At 41.9% G+C, this 13068-nt stretch overlaps 1 pseudogene across 3 annotated transcripts in view; it reads left to right on the plus strand.

The window, feature by feature from the left end:
- The window catches only part of LOC100288637 (OTU deubiquitinase 7A pseudogene), a 126895-nt pseudogene that overhangs the window by 96599 nt on the left and 17228 nt on the right, over positions 1-13068 (plus strand). For 2 of the 3 annotated variants that reach the window (NR_038253.1, NR_038254.1), the window contains 2 exons: positions 5863-5957; positions 7689-7843. The product of NR_038253.1 is annotated as an OTU deubiquitinase 7A pseudogene, transcript variant 1 (transcript). The remainder of the gene's footprint in view (positions 1-5862; positions 5958-7688; positions 7844-13068) is intronic. The other variant, NR_038255.1, reaches the window with a different exon arrangement.

Raw genomic sequence — 13068 nt, forward strand, 5'->3', positions numbered from 1 at the left:
AAAATAGCAAGATATAATTTTAGCACACAGAAATCAATAGCTTTGATTTGAGCAGTATAAATTGAAAGAGTAACTGTGTAATATGCTATCATTCCTGATTTTATTAGGAACTAGGATTTGGTGCGGGAAGGAGGTTCATCTGTAAAAGAGATTAGGTTAAGTAAAAACTCCTAAGTCTTCAATTTGATTTGGAAATATTAGAATGAACTCAAAATTTATTTTTAAAACAAACATATTTCTTAACTCTCCAAGAAGTCCTGTAAACGATGACTAAACCACTAGTTATGGGTACACCAAGCATCCAGATTGTGGTCTTGAAAAACCATTCTCAATAAAAAAGAGTCATAGTTCTTTGGAGAAATGTTGAATTCTAGATCCGGAACAGTAAATGTAGAAAAGGGACCTGAAACATTTTGTCACACAAAATATGTAGAAAAGACTCTATCAGCTACACTAGTGTCAAGGGAACTTGATTCAGGACTTAAGCATCAATAAAGACAACAACTGCTCTATATTGGATAGATTGAAATGCATAAAATATGTTTAAATTGATGAATGCAAAATACTTCAAAAAAAAGAAGTAACAAATTGATCCCATGGAAGGAAGCTAGTGAACCAACTCGTCCAAGTAAAATGATGAATTAAAAGGTCATAAATAAGCATCTATCTTGCCTTTTCTATTAGATGTCTACCACTGGGTGACCAAATAGTAGATTAGTAGAAGTTTCCCTTTAAGAATTCCAGCTAATAAATAAAGAATGAATGAATGAATTATGCTGCCAGTATATGCAACCCCTCTTGAATTGCTGGGTCTAGGCAATGAACATCAGTGGCTGCTACCATCACAGGCAGAGACAGATACTCAGTGCCAACTGATGGAAGAAGACAGCACCAAAATGTGCCCCAAATTGAATCTGAATCTGATCGAGTCTTATATCCCAGTGCTGATTTACATGAAATAGAGAGGACAGAGGAGCATGTGACATGGCACCATACGAGCAATCAGTAAAAGCCAGATGATAGAAAACTCTAGAGAAAAATATATATATAAGATTTTTCAACAGAGGAAAAAAGATGGAGGCAAAATCTGTAGATTAAAAAAGACATATCAACCAAGTACAATAAGAGATCTTACTTGAATTCTAATTCAAACAAACTGAAAAACTAAATATGTGAACTTACAACATTTGATATCATTGGAAATTTGCATACTGGATATTGCACTGAAGAATTATTGTTAATTTTTGGGTGGGATTATGGTACTGTGGTTTGTTTTAAAGAGTCTCTTAGAGAGAGATGGAAGTAGTTGTGGATGAAATAACGTGTTATCTGGAATTTGCTTCAAAATTATGTGAGCAGGAGAAGGGTTGGAGATAGAGAAGAAGCATGGTTGGCTAAGAGTTGATGATTGTCATGCCTGAGGGATGGGTACATTGGCTTTAATATCCTTTTCTGTCTACTTTTATACATATTTAAATTTTTATTGGAAAAATACTTTTAAAATATGTACCATCAGGTAATTCTGTGTTCTCCTTGTTAGCCTAAAAATCTAAGCTCAAGAGTAGAGAGACTGGAATGTTGAGGTGCCATTTACAATTTCTAGTGCCCCACTTTCTCCTGTCAGTTAAACTACTGTTTAACTTGTATTAAGAACCGTTAAAGAATTTGATATGTCATTGATGAGTATATAATTTCAATGCATATAAGACAAAACCCCAGTAGATCCTACACTTACTGCTATTCCCAAAGTTACACATTTTAGGAGAGACTTTTCTTCCATCTTTCCATACTAGGAGAAAATTATGAAAAAGTACAATGAGTGAGTGTCAACTAAGGAAATGTTTTGCTTCCAATCATGCATCTATGCACATATTTTATCTTAAAGGCACCAGATGCTCTGAGAGCTGGCATAAGACCCAGTCATGGCCCCTGAACAGAAGGCATGTCTCCCTCCCATTAAGCCCATTGGGTGTCCAGCCCGCGGCACCTGCTGGACAAGTGAAATGGGCTCAAAGCCCACACGTGTGCCTTCTCCGAGCCTCAGGTACAAGTGGTGGGTCCCGGCACTGCCCACTGTTGCTGCTGGAGCCTTCCTCAGTTCCTACAAGACAATGTGTTTGAGCGTATCAGCTTCAACAAGGGGAAAACTAAAGAGTGAAATGATCCTGCAACAATGTGAAGAACTTCAATGTGCCCCACAGACATTCCTATAGCCACTTTTGTTTGATTTTCACACAGCCCTATCTGTCGCTGTCTGGCCAAACTTCTCTTCTTATTCCTAAGAAGCACCTTTCCTCTCCTCACCCAGGGCTTTTTACACTGAATTTCCTGGAGAAATTGCTTCATCACAGTCCAAATTACTCTTAGACTCATCTTTAGCTGGTGTTGTGGAGGTTATGTAAGTAATATACGTGGCCAAGCTTTGGAAATGAGAATGTGCTCTACGCATTTGAATGTTTGGCAGAGCCAACCTTCCCAGAACTCATGCCCCCGCACTGAAAGACACCGGGCTTTCTTAATTTTCATCTGAACCATGAAGACGCTCTGGAAGATGTGTTTCCCTAATGTGGCATCCACAGAAGCCTTTGTCCCCTAGTGCACCACGCTTGCCCAAGGTCACAAGGGCGTCTGGCAAGGGATGGACCACACAGTCTCTTGGAATGTTGACCTGTGAGTTGAGACATCCAATTCATTTCACCACGGGAACCCAGGCATCTGATCTTCTCACCAGGGTGGGCTTCCTCGCCAGGCCGGACAAGATGAACGCATGCCTGACCTTTTTTCATATTTAACCATTCACCCCCTTAACAGGGATGTATAAATGTATGGGTAGTCAAGGGTGGATTCTCAATACCAGAACAGTACATTTGCCTATTGTTTTAATCTATGTCAATAATAGTAATAGTGCATGTTCTTTCAGTGTCATGTCACTGTATCCTTACTGCAATTCTAAGAGGCAGGGTTGTTCTCACCCTCATTGCTCAGATGTGACAACCAAGGCTTCAAGAAGTGAAGTGGCCTTTCCAGGGTTGCAGGGGCTTTGCACCCAGCCAGGCCATCAGCTCCCAAGCCTGTGCTCGACCCCAGATCTGTTCATCCACCCCTCTGTTCCCTTATCCCTGTGTTCAGTGTGCTTTATCATCAAACAGACCTGATGAGGGTGAGCTCCCACTCCCCACTCACTTGTGTTCCCCTGCCCGTGGCCCTCCCCTCGCTGGCCCTCTCTGAGGTCAGGCTCTCTGGCTGTGATGGGTGTTCACTTGGCTGCCTCCAAACCACCTGCCTCCCAGGCAGCAGCTTTGAGCTCATGCCAGGGCCTGGCAGCCCTGCAGAGCCAGGGGCAAAGGAAAAATGGTCATGCCAACCTTGCCTTCATTTAAAAGGCTGATATTTTGTTCCTCAAAGATATTTTTGCGCTAATTTTTATTTTTGCAGATATAGCACTAAAATGTTGTTTATGTCGATTCCTGAGTGTTTTTGCACCCCCTTAGATTCTGCAGCAGTGGCAGGTGCCTCCTCGCCTCACCTTAGAGTTGGCCCTGCTGTGTGCCAGGCACTGTGGGCAGGAGGATAGAAAGGAGGATGAAGTGGATCCCAGCTCTCAGGCAGCTGGCCCTCTGTTGAAAGAGATGTTAAAAGCATTCACTACCCTCTTCACTGCCCTGAGAGTGAAGAGTAACCTCCAGGCACTCATTCACCCATAGTCTTCCTGTACCTGTCCCCAGGGATCAGACCACAAGCCTCTGCCATCATCTCCCAGTCTCATTCTCCATCCACCCGTTTTATTGCCTTCCAGTGTCGAGTTGTAACATCTACAGACAAATATAATGCAGGAATGTTTTATTTGAGCTTCATTGAAACAGAAGTTTATTTAATTTATTTATTTATTTATTTATTTATTCATTCATTCATTGGAGATGGAATTTCGCTCTTGTTGCCCAGGCTGGAGTGCAATGGCGTGATCTTGGCTCACTGTAACCTCCACCTCTCGGGTTCAAGCAATTCTCCTGCCTCAGCCTCCCAAGTAGCTGGGATTACAGGTGTCTGCCACCACACCTGGCTCTTCTTCTTCTTCTTTTTTTTTTGTATTATTAGTAGAGACGGGGTTTCCCCGTTTTGGCCAGGCTGCCCTCGAACTCCAGACCTCAGGTGATCTACCAGCCTTGGCCTCCCGAAGTGCTGGGATTACAGGTGTAATCCACTGCACCTGGCCAAAACAGAAGTTAATGAAAAATGGATCCTGAGGTAGTTTGGTCTTTATCCTGCTACACCTCTGTCTTCCAATTTTACTCTCTCTGGTTGGACCACTTCCTCCACTAAGTGTCTTCCAAATCCAGCAGTTGGTCTCTGAGACCTGTATGTGTGTGTCTGTCCCTTTCTGCTTACTGGGGAGATCCTGGGAAAGCTCAGGGGGCTCATAGTTCCCACAGAGTCCCTGCAGTCATGTCCTGAACAGATTAGCAGCTCCATGAAGGTTGCTTAAGTAATCAATGAACACTGCAACCTCGGATACGGGAGAGAAGACGGAATTGAAGGCAGGAGCCCCCACCAGTTTAACCCTCTGTGATTCCAAGCCAAGGCACTAGAGGTAGGCCCCTTATATCTGCCTTCAGCAAGCTGGTGGCAGCAGTTTTCTTGCTCAGTGGAGCCCTGGGAAGGCAAGGGTGGTCTCAGGGTCCCTGTTGAGAGTTCATTCACTGGCTCATAATTAATGTATATTGAGCATGTACTATGGGCCAGTACATTTTGTGCAGAATTCCTTAAAATTTCATAATAACTGTTAGATACAATTATAATTGTATTGATGAGGAAACTGAGGCACAGAGAGGTGATATAACATGCCCAAGGTCACACAAAGTGGTGGAACCATTTTGGCCCCAAGGGACTGATTCCAGGGCCAACCCTCTGTCCCCACATGGCACTGCCCCTCCTAAGGCAAAGTCACCATGCATTGTTGGGACACATTACTCTCCCCGGGGTGGCTGATGAGACCTTCAGAGATGTTCTGTCCAAGGGCTAGTTTGCACGGAGGAGAGCAGGAATGCAGGGCCAGGGCACGGCCACCCAGAGCCTCATGCTGTTCAAAGCGGCTGAGTGAGTGCTTTAGACCACACAAGGCAGGTCGAGAGGCACAGTGCATGCTTGGGAGGATGGCACGGGGCAGTGGGTGAGGATGGCCCAGGTGGCTGGGGTCAAGTGTCCCTACCAGCCCAGCCTCTCCCATATCATCATGGGACATGAATGTGAGGGTGTGGTGATGGTGGCAGTGTGAGGTTTAAGAAATACATCTAGAAGGCCAGGTGTGGTGGCTCACGCCTGCAATCCCAGCACTCTGGGAGGCTGAGGTGAGTGGATCACGAGGTCAGGAGATCGAGACCATCCTGGCTAACATGGTGAAACCCTGTCTCTACTAAAAATACACAAAAAAATGTTAGCTGGGCATGGTGGCGGGCGCCTGTAGTCTCAGCTACTTGGGAGGCTGAGGCAGGGAGAATGGCATGAACTTGGGAGGCGGAGCTTCCAGTGAGCCGAGATCACGCCACTGCACTCCAGCCTGGGCAACACAGCAAGACTCTATCTCAAAAAAAAAAAAAGAAAAAAAACAGCTCTGTGCTGTGCAAGTGATCCTCACTGAAATAGATGTGCTTGCTAAAATGAGGAAAGCTGAGATGGCCAGGCCTGGGCATGGGAGATGCTGGTCAGCTGGCAAGTGGGGACCTGTAGGGCCCAGGAAGACAGAGTACATGCCTCAGGCAATTGGCCAAGGCCAAGATCCAGCCTCCTGTGACAAAAAGCCAAGCCTTCGGCCTCAGTCTGAGGGTAAGGAGATCACATGCTCTTGTTCTCTGATCTGTCCCCCAGGTGGCAGTGACGAAAGAAGAGACTCTCCCGGCCGAGGCCCCAGTGCATGGAGAGAAGGAAGAAATCAATTTCCTAATTGGTACCATATACATCAGGTCAAATAATTTCTTATTTTCTAGCCGCATCAACTAAAAATTATACCCAATAGGAGCTGTGTGCAAGATGGGGTGGTCACAGTGAATGTCTCTGAGGGTACAGACCTCCCTGCCTGAGACCCTCAGTCCTCAGGGTCTTGCACGTTAGGTGAGCTCATTTCCTGCATTCCTACAGAAAATCAGGAGGGCTCAGAGAGGTGAAGCCCATGTCACAGCTGGACAGGGGCAGGGCCAGGGTCAAATCAGGCTATGTGCCTGGCTCTAAAGCATGGGCCACTGACACAGGACCTACTCCACCAAGCAGCACCCATCCCAGTGAGTTACTGTGAAAGAAAGAACAGAGGACAGTCATCAATAGCATGGGATTCAAACTCATCCCACAATATGTAAAATTAATTACATACTTCCTAGCATAAAATTTTCCATTGCCTGTAATGGGGTCTGCAAGCTTTTTCCATAAAGTTCCAGGAAGTACATCTTTTCAGTTTTGTGGGCCTTAAGGATCTCTGTTTTAACTACTCAACTCAGCCAGGTGCAAAAGCAGCCACAGATGCTATGCAAATGAGTGGGTATGGCTGTGTTCCCATAAAACTTCATTTACAAAAATGGGTGGCAGACCACATGTGGCCCATAGTCTATAACTTGCAGACCTCTTATCTACACAAACACAAGGATGCATTTACACTCCACCGGCAAAGATTGAGCACCCACTGGGGCCCCAGCACCATTCACTAGTGTAAGTTACTCTCACTTGTAATGTCACAGTTGCTTTTCCCCAGCAATCAGCTGCTACAGTCAGCCTGGGTCAACCTGCTGCATATCCGTTGTATTTCTCTGGCTGGGATCATGCTGCCTGGGAAATCTGACATTCTTAAGAATGTTGTTGGATTGATGGCAGCTCTTAGAGGGATGGTAGATAGTTCAGTAGCCATCTTCAGCAAGTATGGTATTTCCGTCAACTGTGGATTAACCTTGGCTATTAGTCTTTCCTAATAGCCAAGTAAGGGGTGAGAGCTGAGGGGGTAGGATGGCACACTGATAAAGGCATAATTGGAATAGAGTGGGTAACATTCATCACATTGTGGAAGTATTACAAGTCTATACAATTCGGAAGAGGATTAGAAATCTAGCAACTCCAGTTGAATTTTTCTAGGTATACTTAGGTGTTTGAAATTTTAAAATAGTCTTTTTTCCTCATCAGTTACTGGAATTAATAAAATGTAACTTCAGGAGCACTGGAGATAGTGATGACCCCTTGCCTTAGTCTATCTGGGCTGCTATGTCAAAATACAATAGCTTGGGAGGCTTATGAACAACAGAAATGTATTCCACACAGTACTAAAGGCTGGGAAGTCTAAGGTCAGGGAACCAGCAGATTTGGTGTCTAGTGAGGGCCCATTTCCTGCTTCATAGATGGCACTGTCTTTCTCCATCACCTTGGAGATTAGATATCAACATATGAATTTTGGGAGGGAACACAAACATTTGGCTCATAATACCCCTTCTCTCACATGGCATGTACACAGGGATGAAATTTTAGTTAGCATTCTATAATATAATGTCTTGCATGAAGAATCAGGCAGTTGGACCAAACCAATTCTAAAAAATATGACAGCAGGTGGAAATGGCTCCACCCTCGAGGGTTCTCTCGCTCAGGTCTCTGCATGTAGTTGTCACTTGCAGCTCCATTTCCATCACGTGGTAAAATGCCCTTTCTCTTCTTTCCTGCAGATGGATGGTTTCTAGTGTGCTTCCAAACCCCACCTCGGCTGAGTGTTGGGCAGCACTTCTACATGATCCTATGACTCTTGATATGGACGCAGTCCTGTCAGACTTTGTTCGGTCCACGGGGGCAGAACCTGGTCTGGCCAGAGACCTGCTGGAAGGTAAGCCCACCTCCTTGTCCCCCACACCACCATTCTGGGCATAACCACCTTCCAAATAAGATTTCCAATAACTGACGACAGTGGTACTTGGACAGTATTTGGACTCTCAAAAGTGAAAGTGTTGGTGATAAAATTATTTTTGTTTTTCTTATTTTTATTTGGGTTATGAAATAGATCCCCCAACTCTTGACAGTAAAATAGCATGAAGCACTAAGTGGGCTTTGCTTTGTGTTACATCTTACTGATGTCGAGTCAAAATTTTATCACTAATTATTATATTTAAGAAAATATATTCAATGGAGCAGAAATTATAAAACATTCAAGAAAATACTTTTATGGGAGGCCTTAGTTTCATATCTCTGTGTTAGTAGAGACGAAAATACTCTAGGCCAGGGTTTTTGGTGGAAAAAGCACCTACTATCCAGGAAAGTCACTGGGAATAATTCACAAGCAAGAAGACAGCCTTCATCCTCCAGCTTTTCATGTAGATACCATTTGCTGCGTGAGAAATGTGCATCCTCCGTATGTATGATGTTTTCAGATATGTATTCAGCCATAACCATAGTGAACTAAAATGAAAGTTTAGTTTCTATGTCTCTAAAATGGCTTTACCTTTCTTTTTTTTTTCTGATGGTGGCAGTGGTATGTAAAGGTGGGAGGGACCAGTTACAACTTCTCAGGACAGTCAGCTGTGTGAGAGGAGAGAACTTTGTAATGTTTACTCTTTGCTTCAAATGTATAAACTGCAATTTGTGGAGTTAGTAAATACTTGGTCAAGAATTGTAAGTCACAATGATTCTTTAAGTCACTTAGGGAAAATAAGAATTATTGTACATTTGCAGAAGTGGAGAGAACTATTCAATCATATTGAAAATTAAGAACCACCTACTGGAGGATTATCAAAAAATGGCAATGGCAAAAGCATAGTTTTTAAATTTTCCCCAACCTATTAGAATTTCAAACCAACTCCAAGTTTAGAATAAAATATGCTGAGAGTTTTTGCAATCTATGGAAATCAAAATATGATTCTCCCTTCCTGCTATTTATATTATATAATGTCTCCCTGTCAGTTTCCATTATTTTCATTAAGTGGGCAGCAGAGTGGAGAAGCAGGCTTGGAATAAGGTCGGCAGTGAAATCCGAGTTTGAGTTCAGATTCAGCCACTTATCAACTATGAGATATAGGACAAATTATTTTACTTCCCTTACCCTGAGATTTCTTCTATGTTGAGCTTAACCCACCTTACAAGGTGACTGTGAATATTAGAAGTTGTGATATAAAATGTGTGGTAAAGAAGCAGCATGTAGCAGATGCTCAAAAAAGTATAGAAGACCATGCTTGTGGTGGCCATTATTGTAATTAGTACTAACATCAGTATTAATGTCTAGACAGCCTTAAATAGGAAGCAAGAGTTGTCATCTCTTTTCTTTATTTTTTTACTTATATTTTTCACATTAAGATACAGAAAAATTGAGTTTTTTGTGTCTAGTTCTATGAACTTTAACACATGTATGGATTTGTGTTATTACTACCACATTCAGGACACAGAAGCACTTCATCCCCTCCAGATTCTCTGTCCTGATGTCTTTTATAATCAGACCCTCCCCTACCCCAACCACTGGCAGTCAGTGCTCTGTTTTCTATCACTAGTTTTGTCTCTTTGCAAGAATGTCAGATAAATGTCCTACAGAGCCTAATCTTCTGAAACTGGCTCCTTTTCATGCAGGGAGATCATTTTGAGACTCATCAAGTCATGTGTCAGTAGCCGGTTCCTTTTTGTTGCTGAGTAGTATTCCATTCTGCAGGTACACCAGAATTTCTCCACTCATCTGTCCAGGGGCATTTCAGTTGTTTTCCGTTTTTGGCAGTTAGACTAGAGCTTCTGGAAACATTTAAGAACGGGATTTTGTGAATATAGTTTTAATTTTTCTTTTTCTTCTTTTTTTTTTTTTTTTTTTTGGTGAGAGAGTCTCACTCTAGCCCAGGCTGGAGTGCAGTGGCGCTATCTCGGCTCATTGCAACCTCCACCTCCTGGGTCCCAGTTCAATCAATTTTCCTGCCTTAGCCTCCTGAGTAGCTGGGATTACAGCCGCGCATCACCATGCCCAGCTAATTTTTGTATTTTTAGTAGAGACGGGATTTCACCATATTTGGCCAAGCTGGTCTTGAACTCCTGACCTTGTGATCTGCCCACCTCAGCCTCCCAAAGTGCTGGGATTATAGGTGTAAGCCACCCTGCCTGGCCTAGTTTTAATTTTTCTAAGCTAAATACATGTTAACTTTGTAAGAAACTGCCAACCTGTTTTCCAGAGTGCTGCACCATTTTGCATTCCTACCAGCAGTGTCTGAGAGCTCCAGCTGCCCCACATCCTTGTCAACACTTGGTATTTCTTCCTTTTTTGTTTTTTCATTTTAACCATTTGATAGCTGTGTGATGGTATTTCTTCATGGTTTTAATTTTCATTTCCCTAATAATTAATGACGTTGAAAATTTTCATGCTGTTTATTTTCCATCTTTTTATTCTCTTTCGTGAAATGTCTGTTCAGGCTTTTTGCCTATGTCTAAATTGAATTGTTTACTTGAGATTTAAGAGTTCTTTACATATTCTGAGTATAAATCTTTTGTTCAGATATGGGATTTGTGAATATCTTCTCCCAATCTGTGCTTGACTTTTCAGTCTCTTAACAGGGCCTTTTACAGAGCACAGTTTTAAATTCTGATGCGTTCCAACGACTTTTTTCTGGTATGGATCATGCTTTGAGTGACATGTCTGAGAAATTTTGCATAACTCCAGGTCATGAAGATTTTCTTGTAGTTGGTCTTTTAAAAGTTTTATACTGTCATGTTTTACATTTAGATCTACGATCCATTTGAGATGATTTTTGTATAATATGTGAGATTTAGGTCCAGATTCAGTTTTATGCATACGGATATCCAATTGTTTCAACATCATTTATAGAAAATATCCTCCTTCTTTCATTGAAATTGAATTGCCATTGCAATTTGACAAAAAGCCAACTGAGGGTATTTGTAAGGAATATATTTCTGGACAGTGGTTCTGTTCCATTGATCATTATGTCTGTTCTTTTATCAAAACTGTGCCATATTGATTTCTATAGCTTTGTAATGAGTCTTAAAATCAGATAGTGTGATTTTTCTAAATTTATTCTTCTTTTTCAAGAGTGTTTCAGCTATTCTTTTTTTTTTTTTGCCTTTCTATGTGAACTTTAGGATCTGCTTACCTCTATCTACTCTAAACTGTTTTGCTGAGATTTTGTCTACAATTTTAGTAAATCTACAACTCAATCCTATGTTATGTCTTTCAGTCCATGAAGGAGTGCCATAATTTCCATTTGCTTGGGCCTCCATTAAGTTCTTTCGTCAACATTTTATGGTTTTTGGCATGTAGATCCTATACATCTTTTGTTATATGTGTATTGGGGGTCGGGGTTGTAAGCTATTGTATGTGGTATTTTTTATTTCAGTTTCTACTTGTTCATTGGCAATGTACAGAAATATAACTGATTTTTGTGTGTTGATCTTGCATCCTGCAATCTTGCTAAAGCTAAACTCAGTTTGTTCTAGGAGGGGTGTGTGTGTGTGTGTGTGTGTGTGTTCCTTGGGATTTTATACATAGGTGATCATGTTATCTGTGAGTAAGGACAGTTTTATTTCTTCCTTTCCAGTCTCTAGGCCTTTCTGGTTTTCTTGTCTTATTTCACTGACGAAGACTATTCAAAAGGTTAAATAGCGGTGTTAAGAAAGAAGATCCTTGTGTTGTTCTTAATCTCTGAGAACAAGCAGTATTTCACCATTAAGTAGAATGTTGGCTATAGGTTTTAGTAGATGGTCTTTATCAGGTGAAGAAAATTTCTTTCTATTCCAAGTTTGCTGAGAGTTTTATAATAAATAGATACTGAATTTTTAAAATGAAGATCAAGTGGGTTTTTTGCTTTAAACTGTTGCTATACTAGATTAAACTGATTGCCTTCTAGTGGTAAACCAGACTTTCAGCTATTTCTTTCCATGTTTCTATGTTCTGCCCTTTTTTTCTTTCCTTCTGGGACTCAGATGATAGGAAGCTCGGCCCTTTTGTTATTACCTAAGGTCTCTATGGTTCTGTTCAAGGTTTTCAAACTTTGTCTGTTACTCAGATTCAGTCATTTCTATTAATTTATTTATGAACTGACTGACTACTTCCTCCATCATCTTCATCCCAGTAGTGAGCCCAGCCAGTGTGTTTTCTATTTTCGTAGTTGATTTTTTTCATTTCTAATATTTCCACTTAGTTCTTCTTCATATCTTCCATTTCTTTGCAAAATTTTCTATATGTTTTAAGAGTACCCTCCTTTACTTGTACAATATTTTTAACAACTGCTTGAAAATCTTTGTCAAATAATTCCAGTATCTGTTTCATCTCAGAGTAGCTGTTGGCTTTTTGTATGCTGAGTATGGTTTCAGTATGCTGAATTGTATCCTAGACATTTTAAATACTATGTTTTGAGATTCTGGTTATTGTTAAAATCTTACAGTGAACATTATTAACTTTATTTTAGAAGATAATCACCCCAAATGGGTTCAGACCACAAATTCCAAGTTCCTGCAAGACTTGTGTGGATTGTGGTTGCTGTGAGTCTGTGAGATGTGGATCTGTCTCGCACAAGCGCCACCTAGTGGCCAGCCTGGGACTCTGGTGGTAATCTATCCCACATTTCAGCACTCAAAGTCTGTGTGGTCCGTGTAGGGTCGGATCCATACATGTAGAGCTCAAGGGTAAGCCCAAGAGTTCATGAGCAACTTTCAGGGGTTGCTCTCCCGAAGCCCTTCCTCATTGTAACCTGCCCAGTAGTGTCTGGGTCCCTGGGCTCTACCTTTTCAGCCCTCCAGCCAGCTTGGGTGGTTGAGGCTTGATTTACCCTACTCTCTGGTGCACTTGACTGAACCACGTCAGAGCTAAGCAGCGAGAAGCCAGAGAGAAAAAGCATGAAGGTTTCCCCACCCTCTGGGGACCTCAGACTCTCTGGTTGGAAAGGAAGTTTGCCTGGCCTGATGACTTTAATTATCTGCCATTTCTCACTAGGGCCACAAAATTTCTTGAGGTCTGGGGCACAGAGAAGAAAAAATTTTAGAAGAAAAAGAAAAAAAAAAAGGATAAATTAGAGATTTCCAGACTTTCTTAGAACGGTAGAGACCCCTTTCCTGCTTCTGTACCCGAGTTGCTGG

This window comes from Homo sapiens, chromosome 15 (genome assembly GCF_000001405.40).
Source record: "Homo sapiens chromosome 15, GRCh38.p14 Primary Assembly".
Lineage (NCBI taxonomy): Eukaryota > Metazoa > Chordata > Mammalia > Primates > Hominidae > Homo > Homo sapiens.